A 21039-nucleotide genomic window follows, 5' to 3' on the forward strand; every position below is an offset into this window, starting at 1 on the left:
AAAAGAATTAAAAGCAAGGACTTGAACAAACATGGTCCTAGCAGCATCAATCACAGTAGCCAAGAGGTGGAAGCAACCTAAATGTCCATCGACAGATGAATAAATCAACAAAATGTGGAATAGTCATACAATGAATATCAGCCTTAAAAGGATGGAAATTCTGACACATTTTACAACATCGATAAAACTTGAGGAGCTTATAGTAAGTGAAACAGGCCAGATACAAAAAGACAAATAGTGATAGTTCCCCTCAGATGAGGCACCTAGAATAGTCAAATCCACAGAGACAGAAAGGAGAATGGAGGTTTCCAGGGGCAGGAGAGAGAATGAGGCGTTAGTGTTTAGTGGGTGCAGATTTTCAGCTGGGGAAGATGAAGAGGTTCCAGGGGTAGCCGCACAACAGTGTGAATATACTTTAAAATGGCTAAGATGGCAAATTCTATGTTAGGTATTTTTTTAAACACAGTAATAAAAAAAAAAAAGCATCTAGTTTAGGGATTTGGCAAGACCAATACCCAAGAGCCAGGTTTCTCCCACTCCCTGCACCCTCCCTAAATTCTCAGGCCCACCTGATGGAAAACAAGCCTCCCTGCGCCTGTGCTCTCCACAAGACAAAAAAAACAAACAAAAACACAAAAACCGTGCCTGGCCTGCTTTTCTCTGCTATGGAACAGCAACACTTCAGCCAGGACCATCAACCTCCTGAAGTGACCAAGTCCCACTGGGTCCTCGTCTCGGAGCTCAGGACCCCGGCCTCATTATTGCTAAAGGAAAGCACCTCTGAAAACACTCATTCTGGAACAGCCCAGGCGACAGCAGTGCCCCCTCCCCTCCCCCGAGCCTTTGCCTTGTCTGAGCCAAACAGCAGTTGCTCCTCGACGTCATCCCAGAAGCATCTCTTGCAAGAACTAACGTCCCTTATTTCATTTCTCTCTCCCACCCCCACCTTAGAAGCTCTCTGAGCTCTTCCTGAATTGATCCTGGTATTTGACAAATTAAATCTTTTCAGGAATTGAGACTCTCACCTCCTTAGAATGACCAGAAATGAAGGAGTTGCAACTGATGTTTTTAAATTCCCAAATTACAGATGGCAAACCAAGTTGTGGGGAATGGCGCAGAGGGGAGCTGAAGGCTGGGGTTGGGGAAGCGGGGCTGCCAGCTAGGCTTTGGGGACCTGCCCAGGCGGAGGGGGTAGCCACTACCAGCGATGAGCTGCAAATGGTAGGAGTGCGCAGCTCCTCCTGGCTGACGGGAAGATCTGACTCCGCGCTTCTTGTTACCCTGATGGTACGAGTGCTTCATGTGGCCTCTCTTATTTCAGCATGTGCTGGGCTCACCTGTAGGTGGTGCTGAGCCAGGGGCCGGCTCCTGCACAGCTTGTGTCTGATAACAGGCATCACAAGAGAACACCACCTTCCTGGCTGTGAAGTTTTCGTGATTTGAATCCAAGTTCCCAGCCAGTGTCAGAGGGGGTGTCACTGGTCCCCACACCAGGACCACAGGCCTGATTTCAATGGTGACTGTTCCAGCAGTTATGCAGGAGCCCTGGGCTGGGCACACTATGTCATACTAACTTTCCATCCTGTGTTTTGAATATCAGAACTCTTGTTAAGGTGAAAACTCTGGAACCTTTACCCCATAGTAGTTGACCAAGGAAACGTAAAGGCAAAGCTACCGTACTCAGTGATGCTTTCTTTTAACTCAGTTTGTATTTTCTTCACCTTAAGGTGCATTTGAAAGATAGTGGCACATAGGGTGTCAGAAAGGCCTTTATTTAATGTTCACACCAAGTGGGTGCACTGAGTGGGAACCACCTTAATCTGCTGTTCATTTCTTGCAGCAGTTATGCAAGTAAGTATAATGATCACCATTGTAAAAATGAGGAAGTTGAAATGGAGAGAAATAAATAGCTTGCCCAAAATCACCAGCTGTGAAGCGGCCGGGGCTGGCCTTGGCCCCCAGGAACTGGCCGGAGACATCTTTCCGTGACGTAATTAAGCTCTGGCCTAATGGGCCTCATGCAGGAGCTCATCTCCATTTCTCCTGTAACTTGCAGAGGGCAGCTCACTGCTGAGCACAGGTTGCAGGCAGTTTCTCCGTGTGCCCCTAAGCCCTCTGTAGGAAACTGCAGGCCAAAAAATGCACGTAGAGCTTGGGGACGCCCAGGACTTGGCCTTCATCTCAATGCTGCAGCTCTTTGATCCAATTGTCTACAAGCCACAAACCATGTTAGCAAAGGAAACATTATCTCGCCTGAAGTGCAACTCTATGCCCATCTAATGCACACAGCAGCAGCGCAAGTTAGTGAGCAGCAGCTGGGAAGCCCACAGCTCTTCCTGCCCTCTCTGGGAAACCAAACAGCGACCACAACGAAATCACATGTTGAGTGAGGGCTGTAAACCCAAAGACCCTGGTGACTGAGATCTCCAACTTTAGAGAACTGCTAGAGAACAAGTGTGTGCCTGCCCAGTCAGTGGGTGCCCCTCAGCCTTGGCCACAGGACAGATGTGAGGCCATGAACTGATGGCATGGGAGCACGGGGCTGGGGTGGCCCAGCCGTCCCCAGAACACTGAGCTACCAACTTCTACCTCCCTACCACAGCCTGATCCGATCGGCACGTGCTGCTAGTGGTCAGCGTTCTGCTAGCCTACCAGCTTTGCACCCCCTGGGTGGAAGGAGAATAGCGGAGGGATGACCCAGGTGCAGGAGGAGGCAGCCCGGGCTCAGAGGTGTCTGAAGACCTTGGTCAGACAGCGAGGCACTGGCACTGTGTTCAAGCACCCTGTGCCCTGACTTCCAGCATCTCTGACGTGTGCACCTCTCACCAGAGAGGCCTTTCTGTGCCACAAACCTAGACAGCCCTTGTTCCCTGCTGTGTCCGTGTTATAAAATAGACCAGGCAAGAGAGGGTCTTCTGGAAGGTCAGAGCTGTGGCCGTCTTGCTTAAAGCTGAGAAAGCAGGAAGCAGATGAGGAACGCAGAAACCTTCTGAACCTGGAGGCGGGCAGACCGGGACAGAGGGCAGTGTGCGCGTGTGCTTGCTGCTCCGCAGCTTCCAGCTCTCCCTTCTTGCGGGCCGCCTCCTCCATTCCCTCTTCTAAAGGACCTTGCGTTTCCTACACAACTCCATTTCATCCACAGCCAGTGGAGCGCTGGCCTTTTTATTTTTCTTTGTGTCTCCTAACTTTTTTTATTAAAATAAATTTTAATTGTGGTAAAATACACATAATGTAAAATGTATCGTTTAACCAGTTTTAAGTGTGCAGTTCTGTGGCACTGATCGCATTCATGTTATTATACAACCATCACCACCATCCACTTTTTCATCTTCCCAGACTGAACCTCTAGTCCCATTAAACCACTCCTTGTCCCCCCCTTCCAGCTCCTGCAACCACCATTCCACTTTCTGTCTCTATGAATTTGATCACTCTAGGAACCTCATATAAGTGACATCATACAGTGTCCTTTTGTGTTTGGCTTATTTCACTTACCAGGGTGTCCCCAAGGTTCATCCCTATTGTAGCGGGTGTCAGAACTTCCTGCCTTCCTAAGGCTGAAGAGTATTTCATTGTATGGATAGACCGCATTTTGTTGATCCATCCATCTGTCAGTGGACACTTGGGTTGCTTCTACCTTTTGGTTATTGTAAATAACCCTGATGTGAACATGGGTGTGCAAATATCTATTCAAGTCCCTGCTTTCAACTCTTTTGGGTACATACCCAGAAGTGAGATTGCTGGGTCATATGGTAATTCTGTTTTGTTGTTTTTTGTTTTGTTTTGTTTTGTTTTTTGAGGAACCACCTTACTGTTTTCCATAGTGGCTGGACCATTGTATATTCTCATCAGCTGTGTTTAAGGGTTCCAATTTCTTCACATCCTTGCCAACTTGTGATTTTTTGATAGCATTTTTTGATAGTAGCCATCCTAATGGGTGTGAGGTGCTGCCATCATTTCTTTTTGAAATCAAGTGTCCAGTGCATGTGGTCTGAAAACTTAATAGGATTCTAAAGTGTCCACATCACACCTGAAATGTTTGCATAGGTCTGTACTGTCAGGCAAACGTGTGCACTCACACATCACTCTCACCTCTGTCTGTGCCCGGAGCATGATTCCAGTTGGTTCTTGGTGTCGAGGTTGTCAGTGATGGTGATCTGGTGCCTGGTGAGACCCCATTTGCCGGAAGCATGTGTGCACTGCTCCCTTGGGAAGATAGAGGCCTCTGAATGTGTTTGTTTCTTGGCTTCAGAACCACGACCATGCCTGCATCGCCTGTCGGATCATCTATCGGTCAGACGAGCACCACCCTCCCATCCTGCCCCCAAAGGCAGACCTGACCATCGGCCTGCACGGGGAGTGGGTGAGCCAGCGCTGTGAGGTGCGCCCCGAAGTCCTCTTCCTCACCCGCCACTTCATCTTCCATGACAACAACAACACCTGGGAGGGCCACTACTACCACTACTCAGACCCGGTGTGCAAGCACCCCACCTTCTCCATCTACGCCCGGGGCCGCTACAGCCGCGGCGTCCTCTCGTCCAGGGTCATGGGAGGCACCGAGTTCGTGTTCAAAGGTAGGATTCCCATCTCAAGTCCCAGTATCACAGCCAATAAACAGCCCTGTGACATTTTTGTGGAGGCAGAGCTGAGGGAAAGGACCTCTTTTCTGCCTGAGTTCCCAGGAAAGAAATTGGGGAGTCATTTCTGCCTCAGTCCTTCCCAACGCCCTCTGAGTTTCTCCCTGCTCAAAATGGATCAGGTGGACAGCCTCCACTTGCAGGCCTGAATGCGAGAGGAGTCCACGCCACTGCCTGTGGGAAGTTGCCAGCCAGGGAGGATGTTACTGGGAATGAAATCTCTGGCCAGGTGCGGAGGCTCATGCCTGTAATCCCAACACTTTGGGAAACCAAGGCAGGAGGATCTCATGAGGCCAGAAGTTTGAAACCAGCCTGGGCAACATAGTGAGGCCCTAACTCTATAAAAAAATAAAATAAATTAGCTGGATGTGGTGGCATGTGCCTGTAGTCCCAGCTGTTCTGGAGGCTGAGCTAGGAGGATCGCTTGAGCCCAGGAAGTTGAGGCTACAGTAAGATATGATCATGCCACTGTACTCCAGCCTGGGCAACAGAGAAAGACCCTGTCTCTAAAAAACAAAAAAAGAAATCTCAAGTCTGCACTTTGTGTTCTTTATACACAACTCTGGCAGATTCCATGCTGCCCCTCTAATAACACTGCGTTTGCTTGCATGCCACAGTGCTTTCCTGAGTGAGCAATAAAGAGGTGTTAGTGACACCTCAGGTGCTCAGAGCTGTCCTTTCCAACCCTGAGCTTGTCGTGTAATTGAGAGGTTGTCACCTGCTTGGAGGTGGGAGCATCTGTGGGAAGGTTCAGGCTGTGTCCTTATCACTAAACGAGGAGGGGAGGAAGGAGCTGCACCAGGCTGCTAGCAACAAAGCAGGGCTTGTGGTTGCTATTTTTAAAAGGTTGCTTTTTTTTTCCCCCTAAGTTTGAGCATCTTTGTAAAATGGTGTCAGCCCTATCATACCAAATAAAGAGGGATAGCCTCGATCCCAGGTGACTCCTCCAGGATGGCGTTCCAGGGTTCAGTCCCATTACTATAAAAATGTTTCTGTTAACCCAGAAAGTCCTGGAAGACTTTAGCCCTCCTTTTGGGTAGCAAGGTTTGCTCCAGGAATACAGGCCCTTTGAGAAACTTAATTGAAAGCAAGCAATCTTTACTTGACTCCACCCTGAAGCTCATCGTGTTATACACGGAAGTGGCCCCCTGGAGGGACCTTCAGAAGCAATTCTCCACAAAAGCTGGGATTTGTATTTAATTTATTCACTCACATTTTTCTTGCTTGCAGCCTAACTTATTTTAGATGCCTGATGTATGGGCCCATAGGAATGTGTGAGAATGCCAACCAGAATAGGTGTTTGACACCAAAACTTTTAGAAACCCGAAAACCTTTTGATAAAAGCAAAATTCCAGCCTTTGTTGAATATTTTTCTTTCAATCCCAACGAGTCAGCATCACCAAATAAAACTCCTTAGGAGCACTCCGAGCTGTAGTTTTATTTGTTGCCTGCAGGCACTCCCAGCTGTATTCTGGGCTCAGTGTTTCTACACCAGATGGTCTGTGTTGCATGGCCACACCTGCAGCATATCGGTGTGACTGCCACCCAGATCAACAGGTTGAACTCTTCTCCGCCTGACAGTGCTTTGATGACTACTGCTGTCAGATGGGTGGGTCTGTAGGTGGGATTGTTTTTGGAAAAGAAAGCCTTGTCTAGTTAGAGTGTGGCCAGTGTTTTCTGGGTGGGTTTCTGGATCCCACGCCTACTCCCTGGAGTCATGGAACTCTCCTTTCTCCTTTGCAGTGAATCACATGAAGGTCACCCCCATGGATGCGGCCACAGCCTCACTGCTCAACGTCTTCAACGGGAATGAGTGCGGGGCCGAGGGCTCCTGGCAGGTGGGCATCCAGCAGGATGTGACCCACACCAATGGCTGCGTGGCCCTGGGCATCAAACTACCTCACACGGAGTACGAGATCTTCAAAATGGAACAGGATGCCCGGGGGCGCTATCTGCTGTTCAACGGTCAGAGGCCCAGCGACGGGTCCAGCCCAGACAGGCCAGAGAAGAGAGCCACGTCCTACCAGATGCCCTTGGTCCAGTGTGCCTCCTCTTCGCCGAGGGCAGAGGACCTCGCAGAAGACAGTGGAAGCAGCCTGTATGGCCGGGCCCCTGGGAGGCACACCTGGTCCCTGCTGCTGGCTGCACTTGCCTGCCTTGTCCCTCTGCTGCATTGGAACATCCGCAGATAGAAGTTTTAGAAAGTTCTATTTTTCCAAACCAGGATTCCTTACTATTGACAGATTTGCTTTACCAAAAGAAAAGACATTTATTCTTTTGATGCACTTGAATGCCAGAGAACTGTCCTTCTTTTTCTCCTCTCCCTCCCTCCCAGCCCCTGAGTCATGAACAGCAAGGAGTGTTTGAAGTTTCTGCTTTGAACTCCGTCCAGCCTGATCCCTGGCCTGAGCAACTTCACAACAGTAATTGCACTTTAAGACAGCCTAGAGTTCTGGACGAGCGTGTTTGGTAGCAGGGATGAAAGCTAGGGCCTCTTATTTTTTTCTCTTAATTATTATTATATTTCTGAGTTAAACTTAGAAGAAACAACTATCAAGCTACAACTTTTCCTGCCATTTTCCTGTGGTTGCAGCCTGTCTTCCTTTGAAATTGTTTTACTCTCTGAGTTTTATATGCTGGAATCCAATGCAGAGTTGGTTTGGGACTGTGATCAAGACACCTTTTATTAATAAAGAAGAGACACAGGTGTAGATATGTATATACAAAAAGATGTACGGTCTGGCCAAACCACCTTCCCAGCCTTTATGCAAAAAAAGGGGAGAATCAAAGCTTTCATTTCAGAAATGTTGCGTGGAAAAGTATCTGTAATTAAAGTTTCGAAGTAATTTAACCTATTTTTACATCATTTGTCTTACCTTGTTGAGAGAGGAGACTGGCTTGTTGGCTTCTGGTTGTTGCAGGAGGCATGTGGCTTCCTGCCTTCTCAGTAGACAGGATCATTAGGAAAATAGCAACATCAATCCTGTTACACAGGAGCAGTGACACGGGTGGCTGCAGTGTGGTACATGCCACACAAATGATAGAGAAAGTGCCCGTTCATTGCAGTTTCCTCTTCCTGGGGGACCTGAGCCCTGACTCACTGTCTTATTAGGGGCAGGCGGAAGAAGCTGCACTCTGGCATCCATGCCACCTTCTAAGATGAACATGCAGAGACAGAACTTCAGCTGCTCAGAGAGAGTGCAGTGGGCATGGTCTGCCCTGGGGGCTTGCTCCATTACACCCTGACTTGGCATGCAACCGAGTCTTTGTGTAAAGCCATCCTGTCATTGCACATACTGGCTCACTCAGTGTCTTTCCTGCTGCTGATGTGGCTCTGTGCTGGCAGTTTCAGGGTCAGTGTGCTGCTTTCCTAGGGACATTAGAAGGGCGCAGGAGTGCATGTCTGCCCATTCCTTTGGAGTATCGCAGATGATGCTATACGATACCAAGTGTTACCGCTCACAGAGACTGGGAAAGGGAAATGGGAGTAACCGAAAGCCAGATGGAACGAAAGCAAACATGGAAACCATGATCACGGCAAAGAGCCATCCTTGTATTTAAGAAGTAACTTTGGCCAGGTGTGATGGCTCACGCCGTAACCCCAGCACTTTGGGAGACCAAGGAGGGTGGATCACGAGGTCAGGAGATCAAGACCATCCTGGCTAACACTGTGAAATGCTGTCTCTACTAAAAATACAAAAAATTAGCCAGGCGTGGTGGTGGGCACCTGTAGTCCCAGCTACTCGGGAGGCTGAGGCAGGAGAATGGCATGAACCTGGGAGGTGGAGCTTGCAGTGAGCCGAGATTGTGCCACTGCGCTCGAGCCTGGGCAACAGAGCGAGACTCCATCTCAAAAAAAAAAAAAAGTAACTTTATGAAATGCCACAGCATTCAGTGTGGCATTAAGTTACAACGACCACATAGAGTACCAAAGTGCTTCAGGTTATATTTTAAGTTGTGGTGCAGACTGAGGGGGCTTATTCAAAATGAAAATACTAACTTAAATGGCCACCAAGTTCAATAAACAAAGATGTCAAAATACTCTCAGAAATACAACTGATACTATCTTTAAAAGACGTAATAAAATCATGTGAAAAACTGTATTCACTGCTGAAGAATACCTCAGTGATTTACCACAATGCAGTTCACAAGCACTCCCCTAGACTCAGCTATTTGTGCTTCTTAAAAATATGCTACATATACACACATACACGTATACCCAAATATATAGATATTAACGTGTATACAATGTATGTATATGTATATATTTATTAGGGATGATATGAAATTCCTGTGGTCTTACCACTTTCTGATACAATATAAATCCTTACCAACAAGAAACAATAGAATTTACTCACGGATCTCTGGCACCTTAGCTTTCTGCCTGTTGCCATCTCACCCACATACACTCCAACTTATCTTGGTTGTGTCATGTTAGCACAAATAAGACTCTAAATTCCCCAGTGTCCCATGATGATCTCCACGTTACGGTATTTCCCATCACCTCCAAGAAACAGTGATTGATCTCTAAGAGCCATTCAAGTTTGAGTGTCAGAAATTTTAACTCGAGACCACGTTGCTCTATCTGAGGAAGGCATGTCTGGCCCTTAAATATTCCATCACAAGCTTAAAGTACACAGCATGCAATCAGTGCTGGCCAGCCTCCCACTCAGTTAGGAGCAGGTCGTTCTACGTGGGAATACCAGATTCAGGGAAGGTGGTGAAGAGCGAAGAAGACCTGCTGGGAACAGCCTTCCTCCGCTGGGGAGCAGGCTGAGGAGGGCCAGGTCAGAAAGCTGTTCTTTGGGCAATAGCAAAATCTGGGTGTCACTTAGACTTCTACTTCATACAATCCAAGTTGACCTGGGGCTCAAAAGGAAATTCCTGGCCTCCTGACTCTAGCTGGTACAGAACTAAAGGTCAGTTTCCTCAGACATGACAAGTTCCTGTGTCAGAGAGCAGGATCACGCTTCACACTCAGGTCTGCCACCTCCGGGTGACATCGTCATAACAGTCTGCAGCAGTAGTCTGATCCCGTGGTGGCATGCTAGGGTAACTCAGCAGCGCCACCACAAAGGGCCCGTCAGGGAGGCTGGCAGCCCAGCACATCCCTGATAGGGACCACACGCACCTGTGAGAATGACTTGACTGTCAGGCTCTTGTGGTTTCTGGGTGAAGGAAGAGCTTTACTGACAACAAACCGGCCATTTTCTACTCCACTAGCTCTTAAAATACATTCTGAAAACAAAGATGATCTTCACAACAGTGTTGTGTTTTAACATTGCAATGTTTTGTCTTAACATGGTACACCCAATCCTTGTAAGACAAACTAGGAACACAGCGATGGGATACCAAAGCCAACAGACAGCATCTAATTAGGCATTGCAGAACACTGTCCTCAAAGGAAAATGCCAAAGAGCCTGGGGATAGGGAGAGAATGGGTCCACTCACAAGCAGAGAGCTTCCCTACCCCACACAGCCTTCTCTGGCTTTCTTGAGACATCTGAGCTTTCATGAGTCCAAACATCTTTCATGGAAATATCTGCATCAAGAACAAATGCAGTTTGGATCAATGTTTTCCACCAATTTCTAGATTTATGAGAAAATGCCAAGCATTCTTTTCTTACCAGTAAAAGAATCACATGTCCTAAATAAAAGAATTAAATTCTTCAAATCCCCAAATCTAAGACTGTTCCTGAGTGTTCCTGGCTTGGGTCAACAATCTCTAAATGTAAAATTGGGCTCCTGTTTGGTCATAATCCCATTTTCCTGGTGTTTGACTAGGCAGAAGTAACCCTGCCTTGGAAAAAAGCTAGAGAAGTATGGCCTCCAACTTCTCCATTGGCTGAGATGTGATCAGATTGACACATTGCACTTTATATAGTCATACCTAGTCAAGAGAGACCAACCTGAGGCCCAGTGGCACACCACCCAAGCTGTGAAACTGCACGCACATGCACCTCGTTTACTCCAATGCACAGTTGCTCTTGAAAGCAGGTTGCAGTGTCTGACTCCTAGCCTCCCATTCCAAGAATAAGGCCATGGTTTCCACAGGTTCAGCTTGGTCGCTTTGTTTCTGATGTCTATTGAACAACCACCTCCATGGCCTATGGCCTCTGAAACACTCCATGAGCATTTCTACCCCCTCTTCATTTAATGAATCTCATTCAGCTGTTACACTGGAATTCAGAAACACAAGAGAGTTTGTGGGCACAAATTGCTATGCTTTGCAGCCTCAGCCTCTGAAACAAAGTCTTGTCTTGATCAAAATCTTGTTTTCCTGAGCTGGAGGAAGGATTGGCACTCTTGCCAGCCTCTAAGGAGTTGCTCCAGCCTTTTTCTCAGTAAGTTGCGTCTTCTCGAGTGAAATGAAAGGCAGAGGAGAAACTTCCAGAAGGTTGGAAATTGTATTTTCCAAGGGCTTTAGGCATTTGAGGCCTAGTCTTCTTTCTGCAGCTGATGAGGCTACATATGCAAGACAATTGAGAGACTTTGACCTTCAGAAAATCAAGATGATAGCAAACTAGTGAGGACCACTATCTACTAAGAGAGCTCACGTGCAGAACATCTTTCTGTCTCCTCAATAACACAGTCCAAGTTCTCATAGGCTAGGACTAGGGTAATACATCTGCCCTGAGATCAGTTTATTTAGATTGAAAAACTGAGATATCTGTTATGTGTTGAAGTTTTATTCTCCAACTCATTTAGGAAATGAAGCTATTTTATATCTAGAGTCCAGCATTACCTATATGAAAGAAAATAGTTCATTAGCTTCATAGTATCCTTAACTCATAGCATTTTTTGAAGTCCCTTAAAAGAGCCTATAGTCTCCTATGGGTTCTAATGCAGAAGAGGGAATACCCCGTTATGTCAGAAGTAAGCAGTTTGGCAGGGTAAGATTGGGAAGACAGTCTGAGAAACAGAACTGTAACAAGATAGCTCTCTTCCCACACTGCTGCTGTACTATGCCCGACAAACATGAGAGGCACCTTAGTAAAACATGGGGCTGGTTTGTCTTGACAGTCATTTGCACAGCTTTTGCATAACTTTTAGGAGGTGTTTTCTTCCTAATATCAAATGGAGAGCGCCGCAGTGCAAGTACTAGAGCCCATTAAAAAGCAATACTATTCGTTACAGCATTCTCTGCCATTTATGTAGGAAGAGAAGCAGCCAGCATCCTACCTGCAGTGTAGACCTTTGTCCATTGTCAACATGAAGATCTTTTCCTCTTGCAGTCGCATATGTATTTCGCCAATGTACAAAACAATTCTTCTTCACTGCATGCGCTGGATTACATAGCCCAACAAATCTGGCCAGCTGTTAAAATATTTACTAAAGTAAGGCTAATGAATACTGCCTTGAATGCCTTGGAAACTTCAACCAACTGACAAGGTATCATTAATCTCATGTTATAGATGATAAAAGTGGAGGTTTCTGAGGTTAAGGGCCAAGGAGCCAAAGAGCATTGATTTAGCTCTTCTCCTTTTTTTGCCCCAGAATTTTAGCCTGGCTTTCTCAAAAAGAGCAACAACAGCCATTTCTTGAATGCACACTAAATCATATGGTCTTGTACTCAGTTCCATAAAAGCATACTTGATTAATTTTCATAACAACTTACTACGGCAAGATACTTTACAGTTTTAAACTCTTACTAAAAAATCTGGTTATGACTTTCCATGTTCTCACTCCAACCCCCAACAGCTTTTTATTTTTAAGGCCTCCACCGCTGACCCCTCCAGAGCATGTGAACTCAGTGAAGCTTACAAAGCCTCTGGCCTGGCTCCTGACTTGGGGAGAGAAAAAGTAGAGATCAGCGGGGCCTCAGACTCTGCTTTCCAGTATGAGAGTGGGAATCACCAATCTCAGTGCCTTGATCCAGGCTGAGGAAAGTCAGAGGAAACTGTTTCCTCCCAGAAACTGTCCAGGCAGAACAATGGGTGCCCTCCTACAGCAGATGGGCGATTTCACCTTTCAAACATTCTCAGGTTTGAGTGACCCTCAGCTCCTGAGCCAGTCCAAGAACAATTCCTTCCAGATCTCTCCTGGCCCAAGGTCTCCAGGCCAGTGAGGGAAGGTGCCTTCAAGGCGAGCTCCTGCACACTCACGCACACACTTGATTTTCCATTTCAAGTGACAAATATTTGAACATCTCAGGTGAAGCTGGAGAAATATCTAATGTCCTTAATGAAGCTCCTCACATAACTGTGTGTTGTGGACACACAGTTACGTGAGGGATCCTCTGGGCAGAAGTGTGTACCCTTACATGTCCACACTCTTCTGGGCCACCGGTATACTTTAGTGAATTGTTCTAGCACACTACTCTCATATTGGCCCTGGCCTATCCTACCTTCTGCGTGAAGCCACATTTGCAAATGGTTAATAAAGTATCTGTTGCCTAGTCATCACTTACTCAAACCCTCCGTAACTTCTCCCAGTGTTTGCACCCAAGTCAAACATCCAGCCATTGCTTCCATCTGCAAGGCAGTGCTGTGAGTTGGGCCATGGTCTGGTCACTTCAAATATGCAGGCTTGCCGACACTTTGAGGATGAAGTACTCAGGAAGGGAGGCCAAGCTCAGCAGAATAGGCTCTGAGGAAAATCCAGGTGATGCTCTCCATAGTAAGTTATGAAGATATTTCCTACCGGTCCCTCCAGTTTTCCTCTCCACCCCCTCCCATCCTCCTTCCCCACACTGACTATAGCAGCGGCTCCCTTGCCTTCTGCCTTCTAACTGGATTCAGCTAACAGGGTGTAGGTGGGTGATCCCTGGCAGGAGGAGAGGGTAGAGGTGCCTACTCCCATCACATGGCTCTCTCCACAAGACCTCCATGTCTAGGTTACCAGCAGCCACTTCCTCCTTTGCCCCTTCAGGTCTTGGATATATTGGTTCCCACTGTTGCTGGCCCTAGAGAACTGCACTAGCTTTAGTTGATTTTTCTAAATTTGTGGTCTCTACTTTTGTAAATAATCTTCATTTTTCCCTTTTGATGAGGGACTCTTGAGTTTGATTTTCTCTCTTTGTAGAATATCTGATTTTATTAGAGGGAACAAGTGAATATAAGCTAGAATCACTTTTTTCAGATGAGGACTTCCTGCTTCAAATTTGGTGCCAGCCTTTCTGAGGATGTGTTTCATTTCATAAGTAGTAAAATACTTCTTCAGCAAACGCAATCTTCTGGTGCATGTCTCCACCCAAAGTCACCTCTCCTGCACTTACAAACCCTGTTAACGTGTAGGCAGGTCAGCTACTGGGCAAGAGGAATGGACAGTAGAGAAGAGGTGATGCCACACAACAAGCTGAACTGCCCAGGTTCCACATGGACAAGTTTGATGAAAAATATTTTCCACATTATATAAACTTCACTCTCTATTCTAGTGGCAGACTATATATCTGATAATTCAGATTAAATTTCATATTTTTACCCCAAGCTATTTTCTATGTGTCTCCATTTTTTATTAATCTTCCCAAAAATGATATATAGCGTCACTATGACTTTGAACTAATCAATACTCTTATTTTCAATGTGAAAAGTTCAATGACAAGACATTTAGTGTGTTTTTTAAAAAGACATCTTTTTTATTGTAGTAAGAACACTTCACATGAGATCTACCCTTTTAATAGATTTTTAAGTGCACAAGACAATGTTGTTAATTATAGGCACCATGCTGTACAGCAGATCTCGAACCTACTCATCTTGTGTAACAAAACTTTATACCCTTTGAACAGTACCTCCACCCCAGCCCCTGGAAGCCGCCATTTCACTATTTCTATGAGTTTGGCTATTTTGGATTCCTCATATAAGTGAAAAACACAGTATTTGTACTTCTGTGACTGGCTTATTTCACCTAACATAATGTCCTCCAGGTTCGTCCATGTTGTCACATACACAAGATTTTCTCTTTTTTAGGGCTGAAAAATATTGCATTGTGTGCGTAGATCACATTTTCTTTATCCATTCATCCACTGATGGACAATTCCGTTGATTTCATATCTTACACATTGAATACTGCAATGAAAGGGGGAGTGCAAATATCTCTTCAAGATCTGATTTCAGTTTTTCTGCATATATACCCAGTAGTGGGATTTCTGGATAATATGATAGTTCTATTTTTAATTTTTTGAGGGACCTCCATACTGTTTTTTATAGTGGCCGCACCATTTTATGTTTCTTCCAGTCTTGCACAGGAGCTCCAATTTCCTCACATTTTTTCCAGCACTTGCTATCTTTTTTTAAAATAATGGCCGTTTTAGCAGATGTGAGGTAATATCTCATTGTGGTTTTGATTTGGATTTCCCTGATGATTAGTAATGTTGGCATCTTTTCATATTCTTGTTGGCCATTTGCATGTCTTCTTTAGAGAAATGTTTATTCAAGTATTTTACCCACTTTTTAATTGGGTTATTAGGATTTTTTGCTATTGAGTTTTAGGAATTTCTTATATATCTGCATATCAGATATATGGCTTGAAAATATTTTCTCCCCTTCTGTAGGTTGGCTTTTTATTCTAGGAATAAACTTAACTAAGGATGAAAGACTTATACAATGAAAACTACAAAACATTAATGAAGGAAAAAAGACACAACTAAATAGAAAGACATTACTTACTCATGGAATGCAAGGCATAATATTGTTACAATGTCCATACTACCCAAAGTGATCTACAGATTCAATTCAATCCCTATCAATATCCCAATCACAGTTTTTACACAAGTAGAAAAAAGCAAACCTAAAATTTATATGAAAAAAACCCAAATAGCCAAAACATATTGAAAAAGAAGAACAAATCTAGAGGCATCATTTTTTTTTCTGATTTCAAAATATATTACAAAGCTGCAGTAATCAAAACACTACAGTACTGACATGAAGACATAGACATATAGACCAATGGAACCGAATAGAGAGACCAGAAATAGACCACATATATATATAGTCAACCACTTTTCTACAGAGCTACCAAGAGTACACATAGGGAAAAGATAGTTTCACCAATACATAGTTTTGGGAAAACTGGATATCAACATACAAAAGAATAAATTGGGACTTTTATCTCACACAATATACAAAAATGAACTCAATGTAAATTAGACTTGAACATACAACCTGAAACTGTAAAACTCATAGAAGAAAACATTGGTGAAAACTTCATGACACTGGTCTTGACTATGATTTCATGGACATGACACTAAAAGCATAGGCAACAAAAGCAAAAATAAACAAATGGGACCACATCAAACTAAAAAGCTTCTGCACAGTGAAGGAAACAATGAGCACAGTGAAGAAGCAACCTACAGAATGGGAAAATATCTGCAAACCATTCATCAGATAAGGGATTCATAAATAAGATATATGAAGAATTCCTACACTTAATAGCAACAACAGAACAAACAAACAAAACCCAAGTAACTTTATTTGAAAGAATGGGTGAGAGACTGGAATAAACATTTTTCCCAAAAATATATTACATTTTATATTGTCTTCCTTGACAATTACTTTTTCACTGTGAAAACCACTCAATGATGTCACAGATGGATTTCACAAACATGGAAGTTCAGACTTCATGAAAGATTTGGCCAAAGACAAAAAATAGCTCTGATTTCCAAATACAAATCATTTCAATGGGCAAAAAAACAAAGTGCCTGGTATGATAAAATGCATTCTCTCAACCTTCTTTGAGTGTGTTCCAGCACAAATGTCTATCTGCAGTATTCATAGCAAATTCTAGCCAACCTCTGCATTTCCTTATTAGCTTGAAACTAAATGGCAGGAAACACCCAGGGGCACTAGTAACACTAGAATCTTGTGCCAATTTAAAACTGGATAGACAGTACTGTGGAGCTAGTTTCTTAATACTTTGAAAAATTCCATTGAAATGAGAGATAACAAACTTGAAAGGAAAGTACTTTTTGCATCAATAAATAAAACATCAAAGTGATTATTGAGCCAAAGATCCAAAGAAGTCATGTGCAGTTTTCAGTATAATGAAGCACTGAATATGAATTCATAGGATCAGCCTAGTTTAAAAAAATAGCAATACTTTCTATTTCTCGAACAACCTTTCTCCTGGGGAATGATGGAGGCACTAATATCACCATACTGTGCCCAGTTTAACACTTGTGCTTTGTTTCTGATCATTTTCCCAAATAACAGAGCACCAATAAGTTAACTTCAGTTTCAAATCACTTGACAAACACCAGGATGTCAGAGGAAATTGTGGTGATAAAAATAATTAAAAAGCAATACGAATTCTGCAAGCCCAAAGTTCTTGTGACAATACATAAACAGAAGAAGATAATATGAAGTCTTTTTCTTATAATGATTAAAGACGGCCAGCAAGTCAAAGCTATTGCCCTGGGGCCTGCTTTCTCCCTTTGCTGTTTTCTCTGAGTGGGTTGGGCAGGGTTGCCATCCACTTCCTCCAGGTCCCTCTGTGGATGCCTGGGCTCTTCGGTGCTCTGCTTTTGGCTTTCTTAGATGTGAAGTGGAAAGAGTATGGGCTTTGGAGCCAAACAGGCCCGTGTTTGAATTCCTGCTCATATACTGTGCACTTGCCCATTTTGTAAGTCATTCAGCTTCTCTGTGCTTAGCTTCCTCACTTATATACTGGGATTCTTAACCCAGTAGAGGAGAAGCTGGACTTGCATTGACCAACTTTCTGGGTTAATGGCACTCCCATTGCTGCAGAAAAGTATGCTGGCTGCTGTGCATGGCCTGATACAGCGACTTGTTCCCCACACTGCAGACCCTGGACCAGCAGCATTGCAGCAACTGGGAGTTAGTTAAAATTGCACAAATTCAGGTTCATTCCAGACCTGCTGAACCAGAATCTGCATTTCATTAAGCTCTCTAGGGGATTCCTGTGCAAAAGAAAGATGGAGAGGCAGGACTTGACTCTAGCACGCCCAGGTACTCCTACTGCCACAAGCTAAGTTGTATGCCCCTTCATAGTAAGTTTTAATTCCCAAGCTTCTGTATGCTTGCTGTTCTTTTTGTTATAATTGTACAATAATTTTAAAAGTTAATTTTTTGATGAAAACAAAAAATAAATAAATAAAATAATGATTTATTTATTTTGTAAAGAAAGTTGTTGTCTCCGTGAAACCCAAGGTGAATGTGATGGAAAGACGATATGCAAAGTGACTTAAAATATTGCTGTTGAGTAAGGTATAAATAAGACAACTGTTAGTTACTGACTGAGGTGGAGGGATGTAAAAATATAGAAGGAATCTGAATTCTAATGATTTCACACATGTCTCTAAGTTATTAGTATTACAAGCTACCTGCATGCATTACAAGTGAGATGTATGCAGGAAGTTGGTGCAACTATGGGCCAAGATATGTTCCTGGTCTGTTATGAAAAGACTGATGCATAAATGTATGTTTACATGTTTTTGACTAAAATAAAATATTCAACGTATATTGAAACTGTTTGTTTATGGTATTCTCAATTCAACTCACTCTTTGTCTTAGCAGACCAACTATTATCCCTGTGGCATGCTGGTGGACCTACCCACAGAGTTGATATAGAGATTAGAAGTGAGTGTGCGTGGTACAGGGTAGATGCCTAAGAAGTAGGAGTTCTGAGAGGGTGACGTTATGCAACTTCTCATGGTGCATCTTGTGGTTTTGACGCCTTCCTCTTCACCACGAGTCATTTTACTTTAGGAACTATTACATACGTGACATTGAAAGAGGCACTGTGAGAACTATGGAGATTTATAAGTACTGACTCCTCTCCCAAGAGGCTGCAATTGAATAGTGATGATAAGGTAACAGAAATAATAATCATTTAAGGCAATGAGTTATTTGTTTTTCTGAAAGTTAATCACTTTCGGAAAAATTTAACGTATAGTTGATGTAGACAAAGACAATGTTTATAAATAACCATTTGAGTAATAACTTTTTACTGTGTTAAAATCATATGAAATTCAGCATTTTAACCATATTAAAGTATAGAATCAGTGTACATTTATAACTTTATGCAACCTTTGCCACTATTTAGCTCCAGAACGTTGTCATCACTCCAAAAGGAATGCTGTACCCTTTAAGCAGTCACTCCCATTGCCACTTTCCAGCCCTGGGCAACCACTAATCTGCTTTCGGTCTCTATGATTTGCCTATTCCAGATATTTTATTTTAATGGAATCGGACATTACATTGCTTTTTCTCTCTGGCTTCTTCACTTGGCATAATGTTTCTAGGTTCATCCATGTTATAGATGTATCAGGACTTTTTACTCCTTTTTATGGCTGAATAGTATTCCAGTGTATGGATGACCACATTTCGTTTAGCTCTTCATCAGTTGATGAGCATCTAGGTTGTTTTCATCTTTTGGCTATTGCAAATAGTGCTGCTATGAACATTCATATACCAGTTTTTGTTTGACTCTTGTTTTCAGTTCTTCAGGGTGTATACTTAGGAGTGGAGTTGCTAGGTCATAGGGTTGTTGCATGTTTAACTAACTGAGAAACTACCAAACTGTTTTCCACAGCTTTACCATTTGACATTCTCACCAGCAGCGTATGAGGGTTTTGGCTTCTCTGCATCCTTATCAACATTTGTTAGTCTCAGTTTTTTTTTATTATTATTATTATAGCCATCCTAGTGGTTGTGAAATAGTATCTCATCGTGTCTTTAATTTGCACTTTCCTAATGACTAGTGATATTGACCATCATTTTATGTGCTTATTAGCAATTTGTATATCTTCTTTGGAGAAATATCTATTCAAGTTCTTTGCCTATTTTTGAGTTGGATTGTTGTTTGTTTTTTAGTTGTTGAGTTGTAAGTGTTCTCTATATATTTTGTATCCTAGATCTTTAACAGATATATGATGTGCAAGTATTTTTTCTTATTCTGTGAGCTGTCTTTTCCCCTTTCTTTTTTTTTTAAGAGTTGGGGTCTCACTCTGTCACCCAGGCTGGAGTGCAGTGGTGTGATCATGGCTCACTGCAGCCTGCACCTCCCAGGCTCAAGTGATCCTCCCGCCTCAGTCTCCTCATAGCTGGGACTACAGGTATGTTGCCACCAAGCTCAGCTAATTTTTAAAATTTTTTGTGGAGACGGAGTCTTACTGTGTTACCCAGGCCAGTCTGAGACTCCTGGGCTCAAGTAATCCTCCCACCTCAGCCTCCTGCCTCAGCCTCCCAAGTAGCTGAGACCACAGGGACTTGCCACCATGCCCCGCTTTCTTGATTGTGCAGTTTAATGCACAAAACTTTTTAATTTTGAAGCCCAATTTTTCTGTTTTTTCTTTTGTTGCATGTACTTTTGTTATTATAGGCAAGACACCACTGCCAAATCCAAGATTATGAAGATATACCCCTATCTTTTCTTCTAAAAATGTTACAGTTTTAGCCCTTACATTTAGATCTTTGATACTTTGACGTTATTTTTTGTATACAATGTGAGATCAAGGTCCAACATCCTTTTATATGTGGATATCTAGTTACCTCAGCACTGTTTATTGAAGAAACTATTCTTTTCCCATTGAATGATCTTGGCATGCTTGTTGAAATCAAGTGATAATAAATGTATGGGTTTATTTCTGCAATCTTAATTACATTCCATGATCCATATGTTTCTGATCTAACCTACACCTTTATGGTATATCCTAATGCCAGTAGCACATTGTTTTGATTACTGTAGCTTTGTAGTAAGTTTTGAAATTGGGAAATATGTGTCCTCCAACTTTGTTCTTAAATATTGTTTTGGGTATTTGGGGTCCTGTGCAATTGCTTATGAACTTCACGATTGGCTTTTCTTTTTCTACAACAAAAAAAGAAACTATTGGGATTTTTGAAGGCATTGTATTGAATCTGTAGATCAATTTGAGGAGTATTGTCATCTTAACAATATTAAGTCTTCCACTTTGTAAATGCAGGATACATTCCATTTATTTAGGTCTTCTTTAATTTCTTTCAATATTTTATAGTTTTCAGTATACAAATCTTACACCTTCTTGGTTAAGTTTATTCCAAACTAGTTTATTCTTTTTAATGCTATTGTAAATGGAATTGTTTTCATAATGTCCTTTCAGATTGTTCATTGCTAGTGTACAGACATATACTAGACTTTTGTGTGTCTTCTATCCTGCAATTTGCTGAATTCATGAGCTCTAATAATTTTTATGAGGATTCTTGAGTATTGTCTATATATAAGATTATGTCATCTGTGAATAGTGATAGTTTGATTTATTCCTTTACAATGTAGATGTGTTATATTTCTTTTCTTGCTTAATTGCTCTGAATAGAACATTCAGTAAAATGTTGAATATGTGTCAAAGTAGAAATTATTGTATTGTTCCTGATAATAGGGAAAAAGCATTCAGTTTTTCAGTTGAATATGATGTTAGCTGTGAGGCTTTTCATGAATGCCCTTCACCATCTTGAGGAAGTTTCCTTGTATT

General features: G+C 43.0%; 1 protein-coding gene across 1 annotated transcript in view, besides 4 other annotated features; it reads left to right on the forward strand.

The window, feature by feature from the left end:
- The window catches only part of APCDD1 (APC down-regulated 1), a 35315-nt gene extending 26578 nt beyond the window's left edge, over positions 1–8737 (forward strand). Inside the window, exons 4-5 of the mRNA NM_153000.5 lie at positions 4250–4571; positions 6378–8737. Of these exons, the coding sequence (NP_694545.1) occupies positions 4250–4571; positions 6378–6826 (771 nt within the window). The 3' untranslated portion in view covers positions 6827–8737. The remainder of the gene's footprint in view (positions 1–4249; positions 4572–6377) is intronic.
- Positions 1632–1801: an enhancer, noted in NCBI's record as "active region_13080". NCBI's record gives its function as "activates an Ori minimal core promoter by ATAC-STARR-seq in GM12878 lymphoblastoid cells {active_cell/tissue: GM12878}" and the evidence as "EXISTENCE:reporter gene assay evidence [ECO:0000049][PMID:35858748]".
- Positions 1822–1871: an enhancer, noted in NCBI's record as "active region_13081". NCBI's record gives its function as "activates an Ori minimal core promoter by ATAC-STARR-seq in GM12878 lymphoblastoid cells {active_cell/tissue: GM12878}" and the evidence as "EXISTENCE:reporter gene assay evidence [ECO:0000049][PMID:35858748]".
- Positions 1912–2101: an enhancer, noted in NCBI's record as "active region_13082". NCBI's record gives its function as "activates an Ori minimal core promoter by ATAC-STARR-seq in GM12878 lymphoblastoid cells {active_cell/tissue: GM12878}" and the evidence as "EXISTENCE:reporter gene assay evidence [ECO:0000049][PMID:35858748]".
- Positions 4712–4911: a silencer, noted in NCBI's record as "fragment chr18:10485921-10486120 (GRCh37/hg19 assembly coordinates)". NCBI's record gives its function as "represses an EF-1alpha promoter that drives an FKBP-Casp9 reporter gene in an ReSE screen in phorbol 12-myristate 13-acetate-treated (for megakaryocytic differentiation) K562 erythroleukemia cells {active_cell/tissue: K562(+PMA)}" and the evidence as "EXISTENCE:reporter gene assay evidence [ECO:0000049][PMID:32094911]".

Source organism: Homo sapiens, chromosome 18 (genome assembly GCF_000001405.40).
Source record: "Homo sapiens chromosome 18, GRCh38.p14 Primary Assembly".
In the NCBI taxonomy this organism is placed as follows: Eukaryota; Metazoa; Chordata; class Mammalia; order Primates; family Hominidae; genus Homo; species Homo sapiens.